The sequence below is a fragment of the Homo sapiens genome, chromosome 5 (genome assembly GCF_000001405.40).
Source record: "Homo sapiens chromosome 5, GRCh38.p14 Primary Assembly".
NCBI classification, from domain to species: Eukaryota; Metazoa; Chordata; class Mammalia; order Primates; family Hominidae; genus Homo; species Homo sapiens.
The window spans coordinates 75,220,990-75,245,654 of record NC_000005.10 but is presented as its reverse complement, the minus strand read 5'-3'; the positions used below and the strand labels follow the sequence as shown (position 1 = coordinate 75,245,654).

The 24,665-nt window shown below is 38.3% G+C and overlaps 1 protein-coding gene, 1 long non-coding RNA gene and 1 pseudogene across 14 annotated transcripts in view, besides 2 other annotated features; 1 reads left to right on the top strand and 2 right to left on the bottom strand.

The window, feature by feature from the left end:
* On the bottom strand, nt 4,767–8,617 carry LOC124901006 (uncharacterized). Its single transcript, XR_007058823.1, has 2 exons — nt 8,289–8,617; nt 4,767–4,918 (listed from the first exon to the last, which is right to left on the bottom strand). It is a non-coding gene; the product is annotated as an uncharacterized LOC124901006 (long non-coding RNA).
* Nucleotides 8,537–8,836: a silencer, noted in NCBI's record as "silent region_16101". NCBI's record gives its function as "represses an Ori minimal core promoter by ATAC-STARR-seq in GM12878 lymphoblastoid cells {active_cell/tissue: GM12878}" and the evidence as "EXISTENCE:reporter gene assay evidence [ECO:0000049][PMID:35858748]".
* The window catches only part of ANKRD31 (ankyrin repeat domain 31), a 168,582-nt gene continuing 152,693 nt past the window's right edge, over nt 8,777–24,665 (top strand). For 9 of the 13 annotated variants that reach the window (NM_001164443.1, NM_001372053.1, XM_017009319.2 and 6 more), the window contains exons 1-3: nt 8,777–9,072; nt 15,020–15,093; nt 23,297–23,406. In NM_001164443.1, coding sequence (NP_001157915.1) covers nt 8,969–9,072; nt 15,020–15,093; nt 23,297–23,406 — 288 coding nt within the window. In that variant the 5' untranslated portion in view covers nt 8,777–8,968. Of the gene's footprint in view, nt 9,290–15,019; nt 15,094–23,296; nt 23,407–24,665 lie in introns of those variants that run through there. The other 4 variants (XM_024446010.2, XM_024446011.2, XM_017009317.1 and 1 more) reach the window with 3 other exon arrangements.
* Nucleotides 8,887–9,056: an enhancer, noted in NCBI's record as "active region_22678". NCBI's record gives its function as "activates an Ori minimal core promoter by ATAC-STARR-seq in GM12878 lymphoblastoid cells {active_cell/tissue: GM12878}" and the evidence as "EXISTENCE:reporter gene assay evidence [ECO:0000049][PMID:35858748]".
* On the bottom strand, nt 19,987–20,231 carry SUMO2P5 (SUMO2 pseudogene 5; annotated as a pseudogene).

Genomic DNA, 24,665 nt, shown 5'->3' with positions numbered 1-24,665 from the left:
CAAGCACACAAAAATTTGCTAGTATTATTAGGCATGAGGGAAATGCAAATTAATACCACAGTGAGATACTATTTCATATCCATTGAAATGGCTGGCACATAAAAGATTGACAATACAAATGCTCGTGAAGATATGACGCAAAGGGAACTTTCATACATTGCTGTTGGGAGTCGTCCTCTCTTTGGAGAACTACACGGCAGCTTTTTAATAAAGTTAAACATATACCTACTATATGACCAGGAATTTTGCTCATCAGGTATTTATGTACCCAAAGAGAAATGAAAACATACACCCACAAAAAGATTTCAACAGGAATGTTCATAGCAATCTTATTCATTACAGTGTCCAAACTGAAAATAACATATATGTCCATTAACAAGAGAATGCACTGAACAAATTTGGTCTATTTGCATAATATAACAATACTCAGCAATAAAAAGGAATGACCTGGTGCAAACAATGTTGGCGAATCTTGAAAACATAAAACTAAGTAAAAGAAGCCAGTTTAAAAAAATACGTACAGTGTGATTCCATTTGTATGAAAAACTATCATTTGCAGGTGGATTTTGAGGAAAGGGCAGGAGTGATGGAAATATTCTTGATCTTGTTTTAAGTACTTAGGTGGTTACCTGAGTGTGTGTGTGTCTGTGTGTGTGTGTGTGTACATACACATGCACGAAGAGAGAGAGAGAGTCAAAAATCATTGAACTGCATTTTTTTACTATGTGAAGATTCTGATTAACCTCTTGTCACTGGGATTTTTTGTGGGTATAGCTGGTATTTTTTTTCTACAGTGGCAGACCTACTAATACATTAGTCTAAACCTGTTTATATGGCTGTTTCGGTTCTACACAAAGAAGATCCCATTATCATGTATTTATTTGGCAATATTATCAGTCCAGAAATTATTAAAATTTCTCTTTTTATTATGTCTTATTTATGTAAATTATACTTTTAAGATTCAAGCTATTGCTTGTGTATTACCTTTTTTTCCCACCTACAACTCCCATTCTCTTCCTTTAGAGTTGAGTATGCTGTTAAACAAAATAAATGTAGAAATATAGAATGGCTCAGAAAACACATTGAAGTGAAAATACAAGATTTGTGCATTTCATTGTATGTCAATTATACCTCAATAAAAAGAAGAAATAAAAATTTGTGGTGTTCTGCAGTATCAGGATCAGGTGGTGTCTTGGTATGTGTGGAGGGCTTTATTTATATCTTCGTATCTCTTTAACCTTCCTAAACAACCACAAATAAACATAGAATCTAAGATAAAGCCACAAATATTCCATGTAAGCAGCTAAGTGAAAACCGTGTTTGCTATTCAAATGCAAGCTTTGGTGAAGTTTCAGAGCCCTCACTTCCAAGCAGATTTCATCCTTAAGCCTTTCCTGTATGAAATTCCAGAGCTGTCGTTGTTGTGCTCTTTGCTTTATTCTGCAAACAAGGTAACATGGGCAGCTACACATGTCCTAATATACAGCCGTATTTCATTCTTTATAATGACAGCAGAGTATTTCACTGCATAATCCCCTAATGATGAACACTTAGTTTGTTTCCAACTTTTCAAAATTACAGTTGGTGCAAGCATATCAGTAATATAGGAATAAATTCCTAAAAGTGGAAAGGCTATCTCTAGGGGTATATACATGTAAAACTTTTTTTTTTTTTTAAGAGAGTCTCTTTCTGTTGCCCAGGCTGGAGTACAGTGGTGCAATCTTGGCTCACTGCAACCTCTGCCTCCCAGGTTCAAGCGATTCTCCTGCCTTAGCCTCCCAAGTAGCTGGGACTACAGGCATGTGCCACCACACCCTGCTAATTTTTGTATTTTTAATAGAGACAGGTTTTCACCAAGCTGGCCAGGCTGGTCTTAAACTCCTGACCGCAAATGATCCACCTGACTAGGCCTCCCAAAGTGCTGGGATTAAAGATATGAGCCACCGTGCCCAGCCCATGTGAAACATTTTCATAGATGTTGCCAAACTGGTCTCCAAAAAAGATTGAACTCATCTCCCTCCAAGAGTATATGAGAACACCTATTTTCCCCGATCATTGCCAGTGCTGAGCATTATCAGTCTTTTTTTAAATCTTTGCCAGACTAATAGATAAAATAAACCAACAAACGTGTCATTGGCTGTTTTAATGTATATTTCTTTAATTATGAGTTAGGTTAAGCATGGTTTAAAATCCAATGTTTTAATCAGTTACTATCACAGAAAAAGACCAGATGTGGGGAGGAATAGAAATGGAAAGACATTGAAATATAGACTTTTTAGCATTCGGGCCATCAGTGAGTATCACTTGTCTGGACAAGCAGGCAAGGAGGAAGCTGTCAAACTTGTTAAACTAGTTGACAAAATCAATGTCATGTTCTCTAGGCTGTTGCATTTGAGTCTGTAATTCTTTTTGACAGTCTGTCATGGCCTTATTACTTTGATTGCCAATTCTTGATGCCAACATTACATTGTGTTTATAAGGGGAAAGTAATCTAAGAATCCTTACAAAACCCTGATGATATATAATAATAGTTTAATGCCTGTGTTCCAATATTGTTTTTTTCACATCATGATAAATTATACAATGTTGTAAGGTATTTCTTCTGAGACAGAAGATCAGTGTATAGCTATTGCCCCTTTCTGCTTCTGAAGAAACATTATTTACAGTCTAATAGACTAAACAATGAATAACTGTAATAGTAGAGACCACATAGAATAGCAACATCTGGTAGGCATCCTGGAGTAATGGGTGGGGAGGGTCGTTATAATTTACCTCTAGGTGTGTCTAGTCCTCTGATTCTCCTTTGTGAAATGCCAAGTGTTTTTTCAATCATCCTCTGCTGATTTTATGGGCTTCATTATAATATATCTTTTAATCAATTGCCAGAATAACAGATACCATTAGTGATTCTTCAGAGGTTTTTCATCTTGGAAATACTAATTATATTAGGCTATCATCTGAAATTTCACAGTACTGAAACCACCTTTGCAAAATTATAACTTAGGAAATTAAGACAGTGAAAGAAATCTGACCTAATCAACTCCGTCTTGCTTCTAACCTTTAAGCTGTCCTTGTTCATTCCTGGGTGTAGGCCAAACTAACTTTGGGAAGGAGTTCAGTTCATGGTTTGACTGAAACAAAATTGAAAATACCCCTTTCCCGAAAAGACCCCCTTCTTGCCTGGGATCAGTCTGTCTTTTCAGGACTAACAAGTTAGCTATAAGATTAGAAATTACAATTTGGGGGTCATGCAGCCTCTGGCTCCAAGAGTCTGAATCTCCCCAAATTGCTTCTGGGGATAACATCACTACTGTAAAACCTAAAATCAGTGCCCAAGATATTTTGCAGTCCCTGAGCTTGATGGATCAGCTGACACCACCCAGACTGATAATCTGGCTCAACCAGTTCTGCCATCCACCCAGGAACAGAAGACAGCAAGAAAACCTAACTTCCACCCCCTATGATTCCATCTCCAACCTGACCACTCAGCACTCCCCACTTCCCAAGCCCCTACCCACCAAATTATCTTTAAACACTCTGATCCCCAAATGCTCGGCAAGACTGATTTCAGTAATAACAAACTTCGGTCTCCTGCATAGCCGGCTCTGCGTGAATTACTCTTTCTTCATTGCAATTTCCCTGTCTTGATAAATTGGCTCTGTCTAGGCAGCAGGCAAGGAGAACCCATTGGGTGGTTACAGTACTTTCAACTTTCTGAAGTGTTTTATGTCTATTTTATGCCATTTTAAAGTGAAATTGAACTTATTAAATTCTGCACTAAGAAGGGACAGCCTATAGGAGTTGTGGGTGGCATATCCCCACACATATGAATCAGCTATAATGATCGCTAAAAAACAAATTTAGGGCTGGGTGTGGTAGCTTACCCCTGTAGTCCCAGCACTTTGGGAGGCTGAGACGGGCAGATCACCTGAGGTCAGGAGTTCGAGATCAGCCTGGCCAACATGGCGAAGCCCCGTCTCTACTAAAAAAATACAAAAATTAGCCAGGTGTGGTGGCACATGCCTGTAATCCCAGCTATGAAGGAGGCTGATGCAGAAGAATTACTTCAACCCGGGAGGCGGAGGTTGCAGTGAGCCGAAATCGCATCACTGTGCTCCAGCCTTGGCAACAAAAGTGGAACTCCGTCTCATAAATAAATAAATAAATAAATAAATAAACAAACAAATTTAGGTACTAAACCAACACTTAATCATGTGCAAACTTGCCTTTGTGTGCTCCATTATTTTGCAGTTTTTGAGAAAAGATTTCACATATCCTGATTTTTCAGTTACATACTTATTCCCATCCATTAAAAAAGTTTACATGACAGCTTTAATTTGTGCCAAACATGTGAATTGCTTGGGTTAATGGATTAGTAACTTATTTTTGTTTAAAAAAAAGTCTAAGTCTTTGAGAAAATGATTCTTTTGGAAAGTGTATTTTTTTTTTTTTTTTTTTTTTTTGACACAGGATCTCACTTTGTCACCCAGGCTGGAGTGCAGTGGTGCAATCATAGCTCACTGCAACTCCTGAGCTCAAGGGATCCTCCTGCTTCAACCTCCCGAGTACCTGGGTCAAATGTGCGCCACCACTTCTGGCTAATTTATTTTTATTTTTGTAGAGATGGGGGTCTCTCTATGTTGCCCAGGCTCCTCGGCTCAAGTGATCCTCCCATCTCTGCCTCCCGAAGTGCTGGGATTACAAACATGAACCATTGTGCCCTGTCGGGAAAGTGTATTTTAAAATACTTATCATGGAATACTTGGTGAAATACTTCATATAGTTTTATTTTGGGGAGAAATATTACTAAGGTGAAAGTGGCTGCTGGATTTAGTCTCTTAGAGATTCATATTGTGTTATGATAAATCAAATCTTCCATGAAAGTCTCATCTCTTACAGTTCTAGGATCCAAAGTAACCTGGATAGGAAATAAATAATATGAAGCTATAGGCAGCGAAGAATCTTAATTATAAAAGCAAAATATATTGTGTAATCACAAAATAATGAGCCTTCTTTTTCTTTTTAAACATCAAAAAAAAATTTTAAATTCACCTTTACAACAATAATTCCCCAAGAGGACATTTTTCTTGTAAGATTATAGCCCAAATGGAGTAGACCAAGTAAAATTTAATTACATTTCTTAAAAATTATGGCCAGGCGTGGTGGCTGAAGCTTGTAATCCCAGCACTATGGGAGGCCGAGGTGGGTGAATCACCTGAGGTCAGGAGTTCGAGGCCAGCCTGACCAACATGGAGAAACCCCGTCTCTACTAAAAATACAAAATTAGCCGGGTGAGGTGGCACATATCTGTAATCCCAGCTCCTTGGGAGGCTGAGGCAGGAGAATCACTTGAACCCGGGAGGTGGGAGGTTGCAGCGAGCCAAGATCGCGCCATAGCACTCCAGCCTGGACGACAAGAGCGAAACTCCGTCTCAAAAAAAAATTTTTTTTCCCCCTCATTAACTATGGTTATTCTGAATATAAAGTGTATAGGAGAGGCAGGATAAAGTCTTTTTATCGTTATTAATTTTAGAATAATAAATGGTGTCTAGCAACCTCCAAAAGTAGCCAATTATTATTTTTTAATAATAATGTTTACAGATTTTTACATACTCGGCGATGTTTTAATCTATTTGAAAATTCAAACTAATTCAAAAGAAAGCTGAGCTCTATTTCCTTTGAAACACAGTTGCAGTACCTGATTCCTGCCATTCCTGAAATACCTGGGAAACCTCTCCTTGGTTCAATTACATGACTCAACTCACCCTGCTTAAACCAGTATGAATTGTACTGCAGCCTAGATTTCCTAAAACAGATCTTCTGTTCATTTTTCCACCTCTGTCCTGCACTGAAACTTTGGATTTCATAAAAACAAACAAAAAAAGGTTTATTTAAAATCACACTGGCATTTATGAGGCTCATCTCTGCCATTTCTTTTTCATTCTTTGAATCTTAGCAACTCTCTTAAATAAAAGGAGAACAGATGATGCAAAAATAACTGACTTTTTCCCGCCAAAAGAGAAAGCATTTTTAAAAAGAATGTGAATTTCAGGCCCAGAAGAATGTGAATTTATCTATAGCAGATCCTCGAATAACATTTATTTCAATGGTGTTTCAACACTGATGAGGGAAGAAAATTATTATACTTCCCAGCCAGGGCCACTGTGTATGTGGAGTTTGCATGTTCTCCCTATGTCAGCATGTTTCCTCCAGGTATTCTGGTTTCCTCTCACATCCCAAAGATGTGTATGTTAGGCTCATTGACTTATCTAACTGGTCTCAGAATGAGTGTGTGTGTGTGAGTGAGCACGCTCTTCAATGAAATGGCCTCCTGTGCTGGGTTGGCTCCTGCCTTGAGCCCTGAGCTGCCAGGATAGGCTCCAGCCACTCTCAACCCTGAACTGGAATGACTAGGTAAATAATTATCTTATTTGTTTTTATTAGTCTTTCTTAAATATATATATTTTTATTAATCTTTCTTAAATATATATGACATTTCTTATATATATTTATTAAATATATATTAAATATATTAAGAAATATCTTAAATATATATCTTAGATATTTATTATATATATTAAATATATTAAGAAATATCTTAAATATATATCTTAGATATTTATTAAATATATTAAATATTTATTATTAAATATATATTTAATAAATATCTGATATATATTTAAGATATTTCTTAAATATATATATTTAATAAATATATATATAGCTCACGTTTATTTCAATGTTTAATAGTAAAGGTGTTTTGGTGTTTATTTACAAGTTTGGTAATGTTTTTGTGACCAGAAATATGTTGTAAGAACTTAACTCTCATATATATCAATTAGACAATGGTAAAATTGGTTTCCTTGTAAGTCATTTTGTTTTAGGTTGCAGTTTCCAAGACCCTACCGACAGACATTAAGTGAGGACTTATTGCACTTAGCTTGTTACCAGCTGTTTGGAGCAAGTACTGTTACTAGTGGAGTCATCTTTCCCTCTGGGGCAAATGGAGCCACTCACCACCATTTACTGGGTATGCATCCCCCAATTCCTGTGAAAGCAGAGTTGGATAATTAAAAGAATGGGTGAAGTGGGCATAGTGGCATGAGATTGTAGTTCCGGCTATTTGGGAGGGTGAGGTGGGAGGACAGCTTGAGCCCAGGAGTTGGAGATTAGCTTGGGCAACACAGAAGAATGCGCTAATGAATTAATTAAACAGTGGGTGAGCAGGAAAGGTGATAGGAATTTAGGTCTGATTTAGACACGGAGGGTATAAATGGACTACTGTTAAAAAAAATAAAAAAGAGGTCTAGTTCTTTGCATATTTATTATTGCTCTGCCTAATTTACAGAGTTGAGGCGAGGAATTTTATTTAAGTAAGTTACTTATTCAAGTAAGTTTATTTTTTTATTTTTTGAGACATGGTATGACTCTGTTGCTCAGGCTGGAGTGCGTTTGCTCAATCATAGCTCATTATAACCTCAAACTCCTGGGCTCAAGCGATCCTCCCGCCTCAACCTGAGTAGCTGGGACTACAGGCCCATGCTACCATGCCCTGCTAATTAAAAACAAATTTTTTGCAGAGATAGGGGTCTCACCATGTTGCCCAGGCTGGTCTTGAACTTCTGGTCTCAAGCAATCCTCCTGCCTCGGCCTCCAATGCATTGAGGTTACAGGTAGAGCCACCACCCCCAGCCTCAAGTTAAGTTTAGAAGATAATCACCAATCAAGCATTTTAAATAGCAGTGGCTTGAATATACATAGTAAAAACACAAAATAATAATAATGATAATAATGGCAAAGCTACTCCATATAGTGAAAAGGGCAATGAATTGGGAAGTCAGAAATCTCTAGCTCCATCCATTTATGACAAAACTTAGACTTTATATGTGCTAGATGCTGGAGACTCCAAGGTGAATACTAAACACTTGCTATGGGAAAACAACTTGGTCTTTTCTTGAATCTTCTTCTCACTTGGCAAGTGGAAGCTCACTTGGCTTTGTTTTGAATTAGTTTGAATTAAAAATGTTCAACTAGACTGAAACACATCAAATATATAAAATTCTAGTACTTCATTAAAACGCAATTGACTACTTTTGGAGGTTGCTAGGCATTACTATTATTATAAAAATTGATAAAAGAGGAAAAAATAAAGCATTTATCCTGCCTTTCCTGCATAATCTGTATTTCAGGTAACCAAAGCGTTGTTGAGAGAAAAAAAAAATGCAAAATACATCACTGAGATTAGTTGATGAGCTAAAACTTCTGATAAACGTATCTGTTTTGTCTACCTCAGAGGACACTTGAGGAGAGGCTGTCAAGGGATTAAAGGGAAAGGAAGCACTTGGTGGGCTGCAAAAACTCTCTTTAGGTCTAAGGTCGCATTCTGGCTCCAGAATGCCAGGGCTGCTGGGGCGGGCAGGAGCTGACAGCTCTTCCCGTATCTGGGGCTCACAAGCATCAGGTGCATGGCAGGTCACCCTCCCGGCCAAGGGTGTTAAGCAGGCTCGGTCTGAGTTCTGGGTGCGCCACGCCTGCCTTTCTGGTCTCTGCAGCAGCAACCCCAGCACCCTCAAAGCCTAGCGACCGAGAATGAGAAACCGTGAAAAAAACACGCAGCGGCAGGCCACGCCCAGAGTAGGCCTGCGCGCGCGCGCGCGGCCTCCCACTTCCGGCCACGGGAGCTGGGGGCGGGGCCGAGCGCTGCGCAGGGCTCCGTCGTGTGGCGAGCGGCTGCCCCCTGTCTGCGACGAGCGGCGGGACCCGCGGGCCGCCTCGCAGACTGCTACCCCGCCGCGCTCGCGGCCGCCTGCGTCCTCCTCAGCAGCCCTGCGACAAGTCCCGGCTCCTGCTGCGATTATATTATTTTTATTTTTAATTCACAATTTCCCCTGGCCCTCAAAGCGTTTTTTTGTTTGCGGGCAAGAGGGAGTTAGAGGAGGGTAAAAAAGACTTTGAATGTGAGGCAAAGATGGAGGAAGGCGTCCAGGCCCCAGACTGGGACAGTGATGAAACTGTGATAGAGGGTTCAGTGACGGAGAGCGACCTGGAAGAAAAGGAGCTGCCCTGGAGAAGGTGACCATCATTAGGGCCACAGTGCCTGAACCCTCGCGCCAGGGCGGCCCAGGTGCCCTCTGAGGGGGTCAGAGTTTTGAGTGGAGATCGTGACCAGAACATGTGCTTGTGGGCAGGATCAGAGCCTTGTGGGGCAGCCGTGCCTGAGCTGAGAGCTTGTAAATAAGCAAACACAGTCTGTTCCCACCTACCCCCAACCAGCTAGGGATAAAATGAGGTTTGTACTAGGTGGCTTTATAGCATTTTTCAAAAGGCTTTCCTTTTGGGGGCTTTAAGTCTTTTTGCACAAGCAAAAAAGATCTTGGGTCTGAACTTAACTGCATTTTGTTTCAGGAGACTTCATTTTGCTTCAAGAGACTCGTAGCTCAGTTCTAGGAAAATGGGTAACAGTTTCTCTCAAGAAAAGAATGTGTGATGGGGAAACTGGTCCCTGCCAAACTGGAAACGAATAGTTTTATACGAATCCAAAAAAGTCGGTATTTCAGGTTATCGAAACCTTTCTCTAACATATTCTCTGTGCTAGACACAGGGAAAAGAGGGCAGGGATGAGGCCACTAGGTCTGCTTCATATGTGCTCAGGGCTGTGTCTGGGACTTAAGTTGGATCGTACACAGAATTAGGTCATTCTCCTTTCCCTCTCTCTCTTCTCCAGGATTCTCCTGCCCCCTTTCCTCATCATACCCACTTGCCAGTTCATATGATCAGAAAGACAGGTTTCTTTGAGTGTTAGCCTTTTCACTATACAGCAGTTCCTTACAAGGGGGACAGCCTTTAGCACAGAGTTAAGAAAAGAGAGAAAAAAGGGGGATTCTGTCCACACTTTTCAGGCAATACCGATCCCTTTTCCCAGTTCCTCTGGTAGACACTTTCTCTTGAGTTTTATGTTCCCCAGTTGCCATGGTTGGTGTCTGCTCTGAGGCTAGGGCCAGCCTTGGGGCAGGGCTGGGAGGTGAGAGAGAAAGCAACATAAAGCCCTGGGCTTTGTCCTATACCTTCTGGCATGCAGGGGTCATTTTCCTTGGTCTTCTGGATAAAAATAGGTTTACTGTCTGTGCCCACTGGATGGTTCAAAGCTGAAAGACAAAAAAGAACCAAAAAACCGAAAACAAACTGAAACTCGTCAATAAATGGGTTGTTATTAAGATTTCAACTTCAGTCCCCAATCTACCTGCTATTGTTTACTTTTCAAGGTTCTCGAGTAGTTTTTAAAAAATATTCATTCGGAGTTTTTGGTTGTAATGAGAAACAGGCAGAGGTTGCTATGAGCCAAAATGACTCCACTGCACTCCAGCCTGGGCGACAGAGTGAGACTCTATCTCAAAAAAAAAAAAAAAAAAAAAAGTACCAGCAAGACTTTCTGTTGAACTAGACAACTGATTCCAAAGTTTATATCGTAAAATAAATAAGAGCAATTAGGAAAAGTCTGAAAAATAAGAACAATAAGGAGGTAATGACCTATAGGATATTAAAATATTTTCTGATATAAAATATTTTAAATATGATACTGGCACATAAAGTGACAGATCAATAAACAGCATAAAAACCCCCAAAATAGAATCACATACATATGGGAATTTAGTGTATTACAGAGGTGGCATCTCAAACCAGCGAGGAAATGATGGGATTTTTCAAAAAATGATATTGGGATGATGAAGGATGTATGTAGAAAATAGTTTAGTTGAATCCATATTTCACACTGTACTCCAAAAAAATTCCATATGAATCAAAGATGTAAATGTTAAAAAAAAACCAAAAAGTATTACAAGAAGCCAAAAAGGGATTCTTTTATAACTGTAGAGGAAGAAAGATATAATTATAATACAAAACTCAAAAAATTTCAATTATCAAGATTACAAACACATATACTCTTTGACACAGTGCTTCTGTTTTTAGAAAATAGTGTTACCTCTGTCTTCCAACATATATACACTTAGAAAATATCTCTGAAAGAATTACAAAACAATCAAACACCTTGGTTGCCTGTGGGAAAGAAAGCTTATATTTGAGGGGACAGAGAGATATTTTACTACATACCCTATTATATTGTTTGTTTTGGAGACTGGATCTTACACTATTGTCCAGTCTGGAATGCAATAGTGCAGTCATAGCTCACTGAAGCCTCTAACTCCTAGGCTGAAGTGATCTTCCTGCCTCAGCTCCCTGAGTAGTGAGGACTATGAGCATGAGTAATCAGGGCTAGTCTATACTGGTTTTTGAATTTTGAACCATATAAATATATTGTCTATTCAGGAACACTATAGGAAACATGAGCAATAAAAAGAAGCATGAATGAGATAGAAATCTGACCTAATTCTACTTGTATTAAGACTTTGGTATATTTTCTTCCAGCTTTCTATGTAGGCTTTTGTGTGTGCACCTATAATTCTTTTACAAAGTTTGAATCAATTTGTACAAGTTTACAGTTTTCGCTTAACATTATTTTTAAACATTTGCAATGTCATTAAAATTCTTCCCTAAATTATTGATAGTTTTCTGTCATAAAGGGATAATTTGTTGAAGCATTATATGATTTTAAAACAAAACATTTAGTTTGTTTTTAATTTTTTGTTATTGCAAATAACTCTGAGATAATTTCCTTAAGCATAAATTGTTGGGGTTTTTAAAAATAATTTCCTTAGGAAAGAATCTGGACTATTTTTTTTTTTGAGACGGAGTCTCATTCTATCACCCAGGCTGGAGTGCAGTAGCATGATCTCAGCTCACGGCAGCTTCCATCCACCCAGGTTCAAGCCATTCTCTTGCCTGGGTCTGCTGAGTAGCTGGGACTACAGGCGCATACCACCATGCCCAGCTAATTTTTGTATTTTTAGTATAGATGGGGTTTCACCATGATGGCCAGGCTGGTCTCGAACTCCTGACTTCAAGTGATCTCCCCACTTCAGCCTCCCAAAGTGCTGGGATTACAGGCATGAGTCACTGTGCCCGGCCCTTATTGGTACTTTTATTGGCATAATGTTAAATTTTTACGTTTACATATTAGAATATTAACATATTTATATTAGTTTTTTATTTTTAATTAAGATTTTAGTAGGGGCAGAAATTCTGCCTTTCTCCTCATAGGGCCCTGGTTAAGCCTAAGAATTAAATATGAAATAGATTAAATACTTTAAATATTAAAACTTATGTAAATTTAAAATAAGTTTTATGGGACACAGGAGTCCTCATAAGGAAATGAAGACCCAAAGAAATGGCAAAACCTGGTTGGGCATGGTAGCTGATGCCTGTTATCCCAGTGCTTTGGGAGGCTGAGGTGGGCAGATCACTTGAGGTCAGGAGTTCGAGACCAGCCTGGCCAACAAGGTGAAATCCTGTCTCTATTAAAAATACAAAAATTAACCGGGCATGGTGGCATGCACCTGTAGTCCCAGCTACTCAGGAGGCTGAGGCAGGAGAATCGCTTGAACCTGGAAGGCGGAGGTTGCAGTAAGCTGCGATTATATCACTGCACTCCAGCCTGGACAACACAGCAAGACTCCCATCTCAAAAAAAAAAAAGGAAAAGAAAAAATTAAAAAAAGAAATGGTAGAACCTATGTGCTTTTGTATTGGGTTAAACAAAGAGAGGCAGTTGTGGAAAAGTAACTAAATTATGTAGGGAGGCTAAAGGAAGACAAGAATTATTTTAACAAGATCTGTTTGTACAGAATTCTCTTGGCTATTGAGAAATGTTTCTTTTCTCCTTCTACAGGGAGGGCATCTTTTACATAGGAGTTTTTATCTCCTGTTTTCAAGAAGGAAAAGGGAAGCATCTGCTGTTTTTCAAGTTGCCTTTAGCTCAGAGTAATCCGTATGTCACAGTGGCTTATTTTGGGGTGGCATATTCTGTCACCCTTCAAGGAGGAATTTACATAAAGTTCACCTTTTTAAGAGTATGGTTCTGAGTTTTGACAAACATAATTGTGTAACTACTATCACAATCAAGATATAGAATAGTGTCATTATCCCCCAAAATTCTTCCATACCCCTTTTGTGTTATTTTTAAATTAAAAAAAAAAAACACACAAAATTTGGTTGGGTGCAGTCGCTCACAGCTGTAATCCCAGCATTTAGGGAGGTCGAGACCTGAAGGTCAGGAGTTCGAGACTAGCCTGGCCAACATGGTAAAACCCTGTGTCTACTAAAAATACAAGAATTAGCTGGGCCTGATGGCAGGCACTTGTAATCTCAGCTACTTGGGAGGCTGAGGCAGGAGGATCACTTGAACCTGGGCGGTGGAGGTTGTAGTGAGCTGAGATGGTGCCACTTCATTCCAGCCTGGGTGACAGAGTGACTGTGTCTGAAAAGAAAAAAACAAACAAACAAAAAACCTCACAACATTTTAAGAGATAAACTTACCCTTTTAGGGACATTAATAGATAATTTTACTTTTTGGAGGAACATCAGTAGATGGTTTACTTCTTGGAAAAATGCACTATAGCTATGGTATAATTCATATTCTAATAATGCATTTTTGATCCTTAGTAATGGTCAGTAGAAAAGAGCCAAGAAAATGCTTTTCTTCTTATAGCAGGAGCCTGTACTCACTCTCACAGAGGGTGTGTTATAATAGAAAAGTTAAGGATTAGAGTCCTTTTCATTGCCAACTTTTCTGATGCTGAGAACTATTAGAAAGTTGTGTGTGTGTGTGTGTGTGTGTGTGTGTGTGTGTGTGTGTGTTTTGAGACAGTGTCTCACTTTGTCACTTAGGCTGGAGTGCAATGGCCTGATCATAGCTCACTGCAGCCTTGAACTGGCCTCAAGCCATCTTCCTGCTTCAGCCTCCTGAGTAGCTGGGATTACTCAGCTACTCAGTGAGTGATAGTACCTGGCTTAATTTTTCATTTTTCATAAACAGCCATCCTAATGAGTATGAAGTGGTATCTTCGTGGTTTTGATTTGCATTTCCCCTATGATTAGTGATGATGAACATCTTTTCGTTTCGTGTACTTGTTGGCTATTTGTATTTCGTTTTTGCAGAAATGTCTATTCAAGTCTTTTGTCCATTTTCTGCTCATTTAAATAGAAAAGATAAATATTTTAGTTTGCCTAATAGCATACTCATGGCATATCATGCTTATTTTCATAGCTCTGTATCCCTTACTAGATTTGGAGCTTCTTGGGGGCAAGGACTGTGTGTCTTCTCTCTTTGTTAACGTGATGTTCCCTTGAACATAGTAAGAAGTAAATCCAAAAATTAAAGGAATTCTGGGCCAGGTGTGGTGGCTCATTCCTGTAATCCCAGCACTTTGGGAGGTCAAGGCAGGATCATTTAAGTTCAGGAGTTCAAGACCAGCCTGGGCAAAGTGATAAGACCCTGGCTCTAAAAAAAAAAAAATTAATTAAAAAAATAGCCAGGCATGGTGGTGCACACCTGTAGTCCCAGCTACTTGGGAGGCTGAGGCAGGAGGATCTCTTGAGCCCAGAGTTTGAAGTGAGCCAAGTTCATGCCACTGCACTACAGCTTGGGTGACAGAGAGAGACTGTGTCTCAAAATAAATAAATAAATAAAGGAATTCTGTCAGTGCATACTATGAAAATATATACTCAGATATAATCCTGGGATATTAATTTCAAGTTCTCTGGTATAGAGAAATGTGAAGGGAAAAAACCCACCAGCACTGGTCCCTCAAATGATCTCATTTTATCTCTTTTCAAAAAGTTATTAAGGTTTATTAGACTAGAGACAACGATATTTGTCCCTTACTCCCAAATATTAAAAAATAATAACAGAATATTTGTAAAATTAACATGATGAGTCTTTATTTTTCATCTTGGATGTGTTTTCAATCAAAATGTACATTTCTGAATAACACTTTGAAATAGAAACATTAATAGTGGTATAACTAAGAATTTTAGCAAGTTTTGGTATAATAAAAATGATGGGTAAAATGTTAGTCTTTGTTTAAGACACATTAACAACTTGTGCCTTCCCTTTTGGTATTTGAAAGGTTGCTGTTTGATCAAGACGCATCTCTTAAATCTGAGTTCAGTCTGCATCCTGATACAAGAGGAATGTGCAAAGGTGAGAATGATTCTTTTCATTAAGTAGTCCCTTTAGTTTCCCAGTTAGTCCCCATTTAATGTCATTGATAGGTTCTTGGAAACTGAGACTTTAAGCAAAATGAATTATAAGGAAACCAATTTTACCATAAGCTAATTTGTATAAATAACAGTTAAGTTTTTATAGCATATTTCTGGTCACAAGAACATCACCGAACTTCTAAATAAATGCCAAAACACTTCTGATAGTAAACATTGAAATAAATGTGAGCTATACATACATTCAAGAAAGATTAATACAAACAAGTAACATAATTGTTAACCCAGTTATTCCACTTCAGGGTTGAGTGTGACCAAAGCCTATCCTGGCAGCTCAGGGCTCAAGGCAGGAACCAACCCCGGACTGGAGGCCAGTCCATTGAAGAGCCCGTGCTCAGGGCTCAAGGCAGGAACCAACCCCGGACTGGAGGCCAGTCCATTGAAGAACGTGCACACACGCGCGCACACACACACACAGACACACAGATACACACACGCACTTGTATTGGGACCATTTAGACATGCCAGTGAACCTAACAGGCACATCTTTGGGATGTGGGAGGAAACTGGAGTACCTGCAGGAAACCCATGCAAACATGGGGAGAACATACAAATTCCACAGAGAGTGGCCCTTGCTGGGAATTGATGTTTTTTTTGTTTTTTTTTTTTTTTTTTTTTTTGAGACAGAGTCTCACTCTGTCGCCCAGGCTGGAGTGCAGTGGCACAATCTCAGCTCACTGCAACCTCCGCCTCCCCAGGTCAAGCGATTCTTCTGCCTCAGCCTCGCGAGTAGCTGGGACTATGTGCACGCACCACTACACCCAACTGAATTTTGTATTTTTAGTAGAGACGGGGTTTCACCATATTGGCCAGGCTGGTCTTGAACTCCTGACCTCGTGATCTGCCCACCTTGGTCCTCCAAAGTGCTGGGATTACAGGTATGAGTTGATTTTTTAAAATCAATGTTGACATGAAGTTATTCAAGGACCTGCTGATTACCATTTCATTAACTTCTCTTTTCATCCTGTCTTGTTCCTTAATTTTACACAGACTTAGTTTATTAGGGTCTGTTAGACTAGCGACAGCACTGGGGATCATAGCTTCCAGAAGATGCTTAAGATTCCTAGAAAGGGCAACGGAGGTATTGAAGTGCCACCCATATAGCCTTTTTCCTCTTCCAAATCTCTAGCCTAGCCCTAGAACCCGTCTATTTGTAAAAGTAAATAATACTTTTTAATAACCAGTCTTATTTTTCCAGATTAAAATTAGGGCATACACATCCTTAGTAAATATGCATTGTAAACGTGCCTTTCTTCTACCAATTCACCAAACATCCTGAGGCCACTTCTAGGTTGATTTAAACATTTCTAGAAAAATCTATCACTGATAGTCACTGTTCAGAAAGAACCAATTCTGCAGTAGTTGTTTAAATGGTAGGTTGTTTCTCTTTATGATTTCTTCCTGTGAGCCTTTAAAAAAATCTTTTTTTGGAGGATGTCTGGAAATAAGTGTGAAATAGAAAAAAAAATTCCTAAACACCCACGAAGGTTTTCTAACTTTTGTGTATTTATGGTTCACAGTCTTTTCACTGTACATCATCTCACCTGATACCTAAGTGGGAAGTTACAGTTTCATCTTGGAATGCATTTTCTCACATGTAATTGGAAGGGACAGTGTGTAATATTGATCTCCAGGATGCCTTCTTATGATATATAAAGTACCACTAGAAAGGAGTTAGAGGTCTGTTTCAATATTCCAACCAAGTTTTTTTATTTTCTTTTCCAAATGGATAAATCTTTACTATGTCGCTGGTTATTAAAAATATTAAAATATAAAATTATATCATGTAGAAAATGAAAGGTCATGTTCCTTACTCTTCCCTATAATTCTACTCCCAATGATTGCCAGTCTTTAGTATTTATATATCCTTCTAATCTTTTGTATGCCACTATAAATATCTTTTTTTCATAATTGGTATCATATTCTACATTTTTTTCCTTGTCTATATTTATTTACTTCAACCTTTTGTTTATTTACTTTCATGTTAAAGAAGTTTATTTAAGCCCAAGATCCATGATTCAAAAGGAAAACTACCTAGCAATCATTTTTTAGACTCATTTATTTCTACTAAATGACAGATTGTTCTACATTCAACAGCTACATACAAAAAAAGTTATAAAATTGTCCTTGGTTTTGCAACGATAAATGAAAAACATTAAAATTCTCCAGTCAAACAAGGCATGCAAGGATTTTTATGTTGTTATTTTTTGTGTTAAAATAGAGCAAAATAACTTACTGAATTATAAAGGTAAGAGCTGAGTGAGCATGCTACTAATGGAGAAAGTGGGTATTTTCACAGAACCAGGGTTTTTTTCCCATCCCAACTTCATTTGATGTCAATCAAAACCTTTCAATGGCCATATAGTAAAACAAAAGAATGCAATATGTTTGTGTACATACACTAGTTACTTTATGTGCAGTAAAGCAGCGGTCCCCAACCTTTTTGGCACCAGGGACCAGTTTCATGGAAGATAATTTTTCCCAGGATGGCGGTTGGGGGTATGGTTTCAGGATGAAACTGTTCCATCTCAGGTCATCAGGCATTAGAGTCTTATAAGGAGTGTGCAACCTTGATCCCTCACATGTGCAGTTAACAGTAGGGTTTGCACTCCTATGAGAATCTGATGCTGCTGCTGATCAGACAGGAGGTGGAGCTCAGGTGATAATGCTGGCTTGCCTGCTGCTTACCTTCTGCGGTGCAGCCTGGTTCATAACAGGCCACGGATGGGTACTGGTCCGTGGTCCAGGGATTGGGGACCTCTGCAGTAAAGGAATAGAGAAGGGAAAATGAAAGAATAAAGAAAACTATGCTATATTAGGATATGGTAGAATGAAATTGTTTTCTAGTTGAGAATGTATTTCTGGTCTGTAAAAATGGAGTTACGGAGTCAAGTAGCAGGTTTTCTTTCTTTTTTTAATTTTTAATTTTTAAATTTGTGGGTACATAGTAGGTGTATATATTTATGGGGTATATGAGATATTTAGGCATGATAATCACATCAGGGTAAATGGGATATCCATCACTTTAAGCATTTATCCTTTATGTTTCAAACAATCCAATTATATTTTATTATTTTACAATGTACAATTAATTAATTTTGACTATACTCACTCTGTTGTGCTAGCAAACAGTAGGTCTTATTCATTCTTTCTATTTTTTTGTGCCCATTAACCATCCCTACATCCTTCTCAGCCCGCAATATTTTTCCCAGTCTCTGGTAACCATCCTTCTACTCCTTATCTCCATGAGTTCAATTGTTGTGATTTTGGCTCCCACAAATAAATGAGAACATGTGAAGTTTGTATTTTTGTTCCTGGCTTATTTCACTTATGACCTGCAGTTCCATCCATGTTGCAAATGACAGAATCTCATTCTTTTTCATGGCTGAATAGTACTCCACTGTGTATATATATCACATTTCCTTTATCCATTCATCTGTTGATGGACACTTAGGTTGCTTGCAAATCTTGGTTATTGTGGATAGTGCTAAAAAAAAAACCGTGGGAGTGCAGATATCTCTTTGATATACCAATTTTCTTTCTTTTGGAAAGGAAAATCCCAAATACCTAGGAGTGGGATTGCTGGATTGTATGGTAGCTGTATTTCTTTTTCTGTGAGGGATTGCCAAACTATTCTCCACAGTGATTGTACTAATTTACATTCCCACCAACAGTGTGTGATGGTTCACTTTTCTCCACATCTTCACCAGCATTTGTTATTGCCTGTTGTTTGCATAAAGGCCATTTGTAACTGGAGTCAGATGATATTTCATTGTAGTTTTGATTTGTATTTCTCCAATGATCCATGATGTTGAGTACCTTTTCATATATCTGTTTGCCATTTGTATGTCTTCTTTTGAGACATGTGTGTTCAGATCTTTTGCCCATTTTAAAATCTGATTATTATATTTTTTTTCCTATAAAGTTGTTCGAGCTCCTTAGGTATTCTGGCTATTAATTCCTTGTCACATGGATAGTTTGCAAATACTTTCTACCATTCTGTGGTATCAGGGTAATACTGTCCACCACTGGGACAGACCTAAAGTACTCCTGTGGCTACCACCACTGGGACAGACGTGGAGTACCCCTATAGCCACCACCACTGGGTCAGACCTGAACCCAGCACGGTACTGAGTCTTGCCCAAGGCCTGCTGTAGCCATTACCTGGCTACCACCTATGTTCACTACAGCTCTACAATCAGCAGGTAACAAAACCAGCCAGGCTTGTGTCCTTCCCTTCAGTACAGTGAGCTCCCCAAATCCTCGGGCAGGTCTAGAGATGTTGTCTGGGAGCCAGAGATGGGAATCAAAAACCTTAGAAATTTACGTGGTATTCTATTCTACTGTGGCTGAGCTGGCACTCAAACCATGAGACACAGTCCTTCCCACCGTTCCTTCCCGTTTCCATAGGTAGGAGAGCCTCACCCCATGGCCATCACTACCATAGGCCCAAGAGGAATACTGCCAGGCTACTGCCAGTGTTCACTTAATGCCCTAGGGCTCTTCAGTCAGCTTGTGGTGAATGCTATCAGGTCTGGAACCCACCCTTCAGAGCAGTGGGCTCCCCTGTGGCCCAGGGCAGGTCCAGAAATGCTGTTCAAGGCCTTATTGAATCAGTGATCCCAAAAGGCTGCCTGGTGCTCTACCCATTGTGGCTGAACTCACACCTAAGGTGTAAGACAAAGTCCCCTTTACTTTTCCCTCTACCTTTCTCAAGCAGAAGGCCTTCTGCACCTTTCTCACCATAGCCACCACAGCTGTCAATGTGCTGGGTCTGACATGAAACCACATGTGAGAATCTTAGGTTTTCTTTTAAGTAGACACCTCCTATCTGCTCTTGGAACACATCACTTGTATCTTCATCCACCATTTGTGTTTGTGTTATTGGTTGCCTGTCAAATTGGAATCTGATCTGTCTCATTGACAAACCCTGTCATTCACAATAGGCTTTCATTAGTTTACTAAGTGGTGTATGACTCCTAATCCTAAACTGTACTGTATGACCATCCTGCCTACTATTTTCAAATTAATATGGTCATTGTTCTTAGTATTGACTCCTTGGTCAACAAAAAGTCCTTGGGGATTTTGTTGACCACTGCGGTCATCGGAGTCTCTCCAGCTGCTGGTATACAAAAGAGATACTAGGTCCACGTTGGAGTCTACCTCATCCTTTTACATTGCTATGTATTATTCCATTGTATGAATGTACCCTATTTAATGAATTAATGATACTTAATGTTTTTCAATACTATTACAAAATATGAAAATATTAATACTTATACCTTTGCCTGCTTTTCTGATTTTTTCCTTAGAATAACTATCTAAAACTTTGTGCTCAGCTCTTGACATATATTTCCCCCAAAAAAGATGTCTCCTTCTCCCTACAACCAACGCAGCAAATAATTCAGTCTGTGTCAAATAAAAAGTATCTGATTTAGTTTGCATTTTCAAGGAATACCAGTGTTAGGCCTATTTTAATATAGATAATTCATAATTATTTTTTGTGTCTGAATTGCCTGCATCTGTCTCCAAATTATTTTCATTTTATTATTGATTTGTAAGAGCATTTTCTATATTAAAGATAGCAAATCTTTGTCATATATATTGTGAATAGTTTTACCCAGTTTTCTGGTTATCTTTTAATATTATTCATGATATATTTTGCAGTGAAGAAATTTTAAGTTTTTGTGTAGTAAAAGCTGTTGGTCTTCTCTTTTAGGGTTTCTTCTTTCTCTATCAGACTTAGAAATACTTCAGTGACCTCAAAACCATAAAGATACATTTTTAATCTTTATTTCCATTGATTATATTTATAGCTTTTATATTTTTAATGTTTGGAATATTTTGGCATATGGGAAAGGTAGGGCTCAAACTTTATTTTTTTGAAATGGTTAACCAATTTTCCTAATATCATTTATTGAATAATCCATCTTGTTGCCCCGGTTTAAAATACCATTGTCATATATTAAATTTCCATATATATGTGTGTGTGTATGTCCATTTTCTACTCATTGTTTTGTTTCATTGACCTATTAGACTATTTCTGTGACTTTTTCATCACTACATTATTTTATCATCCTTAGCTTTAGTATAATATATTTCTATGTATGGTAGGGAAGATATCCTGTTATACAGAGTAATTGGCCACAGCATTCATCCTAAGTTTCTTTGGTACAAACAGCAAGCTCAATGCAGTATGACACTTTAATCACAGTGTTCTTCCAATTTACCTTCTTCCAACTTTTGTTAGTGGGATTTTCTCTGAACTGGGTGGTTTTCTGGAATTCTAATGGAAGAAATGTGTGTATATATATATATATATACATATATATATATATATATATATATATATATAATTATTTCTGAGAGATCTCTTCCTTTTCCTGTGTTGTGTGATAAGCTGTGTCTTAGTCAGTTGGGGCTGCTATAACAAAACTATAGACTGGATGGTTTGATCTATAGATATTTATTTTTCACAGTTCTGGAGGATGAGAAATCCAAAATCAAGGTGCTGGCAGATTGGTTCTAGGTGAGGACCCTCTTCCTGGATTGTGCGGATGGCTGCTACATTGCTGTGTGCTCACGTGACCTCCTCTTTGTGCTCAGGGAGAGAGAGCTCTGGTTTTTCTCTCTCTTTTTATAAGGATATTAATCTCAGGAGGGATTATGAGGGCTTCACCCTCAATACCTCATCTAAACCCAACTACCTCCCAAAGATCTTACCTTCTAATATCATCACATTGGCGGTTAGGGCATCAGCATATGAATTTGGCTGGGGCGGGTGTGCACAGACATTCAGTCGATAACAAGCTGTTTACTACTGTTTGGGTTTCCTTGAATCCATTCCCATCTTTTGATCTATAGGGGGTATATTTCTATATTCCTTTCCTTTCCATTGTTGCTTCAGATTTTCAAAAACCAAAAATCTAGTAATTTCTTTGCATATTTTTCTATGAACTTGGAAGGTTAAAAAATATGGGCTCAGTTTGCCATTTTGGAAACAAAAACTGTGGCTTTTTTGGACTATGTACTAGTATTATGAGTTTCAAAAAAACAATCTAAAATGAATTTAAAAAGGAATTTTTAAATTATTCTAGTGGTGTTTAAGTCTATGTACTTTCTATGCATATTGATTGCCTTTATTCATCCTGAGACAAATAAATATCAAGTATTATTTCATTCAGTGTAGTATATGTGTTTCCTCTTAATAATTGAAAAATATTAACACATAAAAGTGGCAGTTAAGAAATTGTAATATGCCACAAACATATGAAAAAAAGCTCAACATCACTGATCATCAGAGAAATGCAAATTAAAACCACAAGGAGATACCATCTCATGCCTGTCAGAATGGTGATTATTAAAAAGTCAGGAAACAATAGATGCTGTCAAGGCTGTGAAGAAATAGGAATGCTTTTACACTGTTGGTGCGAATGTAAATTAGTTCAACCATTGTGGAAGACAGTACAGGGATTCCTCAAGTATCTAGAACTAGAAATACCATTTGACCCAGCAATCCCATTACTGGGTATAAACCCAAAGGATTATAAGTCATTGTACTATAAAGACACATGCACATGTATGTTTACTGCAGCACTATTTACAATAGCAAAGACATGGAACCAGCCCAAATGCCTATCAATGGATAAAGAAAGTATGGTACATATACACCATGAAATACTATGCAGCCACAAAAAGGAATGAGATCATGTCCTTTGCAGGGACATGGATGAAGCTGGAAGCCATCATCCTCAGCAAACTAACACAGGAACAGAAAACCAAACACTGCATGTTCTCACTCATAAACAGGAGTTGAACGTTGAGAACACATGGACACAGAGAGAGGAACAACACACACCAGGGCCTGTTGGGGGTTGGGGGGTGAGGGGAGAGAACTTAGAGGACGCATCAATAGGTGCAGCAAACCACCATGGCACACGTATACCTATGTAACAAACCTGCACGTTCTGCACATATATCTCGTTTTTTTTTAGAAGAAATGAAAAAAGAAATAATATACTAGATGATTCTTGATAACATTTTGCATGCGTATAAAATTATTGGGCCATTATCAAAGCAGAGCAATAAAACTGTTGTAAATGATTTATGATTATGTTTCACTCTAGGCATGCCTTCTCCTGAGATTCAACTTGGATTTAAGCTCAGAGAGGATCTGCAAGAGCAAATGAATAAAAATAAGATGATGCCTGTTCTTAGCGAGGATACAATATTACAGGTGTGTAGCATGTTGATTGAATACATACTCATTAAAAATTGGAAATGCTATCGCTCAGAGTGGCAAATTACTAATGATAATTCTTTTTGTCTATATTTTGCTTCTTTCCTCTTTTCTTATTAATTTTTACCTCTTTCTTAACTAGTCATTCTATTTCTTTGTTGCAACTTTGATGAAAACAATTGTTTTAGAAGGGAGAATTTAAAATACAGTTGATCCTTGAACAATTTGGGAGTTAGGGATGCTGACCCTCTGTGCAGTGAAAAATCCACATGCAACTTTTGACTCTCCCAAAACTTAACTACTTATAGCCTACTGTTGACTGGAAGCCTTATTGATAGTCAATACATATTCTTTTATATGTATTATATACTGTATTGTTACAACACAGTAAGATAGAGAAAAGAAAATGTTAAGAAGATCATAAAGAGGAGAAAACATATTTACTATTCATTAAGTGCAAGTGGGTCATCATAAAGATCTTCATCCTATTGTCTTCACATTGAGTAGACTGGGGAAGAAAAAGAGAGAAAGAGGAGGGGTTGGTTTTGCTTTCCCAGGGGCGGCAGGGGTTGAAAAAAATTCATGTATAAGTGAACCAACACAGTTCAAGCCTGTGTTGTTCAAAAGTGAACTGTGTTTTCTTTTGTCCACTCTTACACCTCTTATGTTTTTCACCCTTTGGTAGAGATGCAGATATGAGAGGAACAGAGGTTAAAATAGGATGTAATAATTATGATTTTCATCTCCATTTTATATTAGGGATTCTTCTTAAACTTGTGAAGAAGATATAGCCTGTATGGTATAATTTGAGATATAGGCCACTGAAAAGACACTTCCGTTGTCTTATGTGTGTGAGTGTATGTATATGTATGTGCCTGCACACACACACACAAAGAATTTTTACTTTTTTTGTCTTTTAAAATATGATTTTGACATTTATGTCATTTCAAACTGCATGTAGATTTCTGAGAATCAATTTTTTTGGTGTACAGATTATTATCACCTGGGTACTAAGCATAGTACCCCACAGGTTTTTTTTTTCTGAACCTTTTCCTTCTCCCATCATTCTCCCTCAAGTAAGCTCCAGTATCTGTTTTTCCCCTCCTTCTGTCCATGTGTTCTCATGATTTAGCTCCTACTTGTAGGTGAGAACATGCGTTATTTGGTTTTCTGTTTCTGCATTAGTTTGCTAAGGATAATGGCCTCCAGTTCCATCCATGTTGCTGCAAAGGACATGATCTCATTCTTTTTTATGG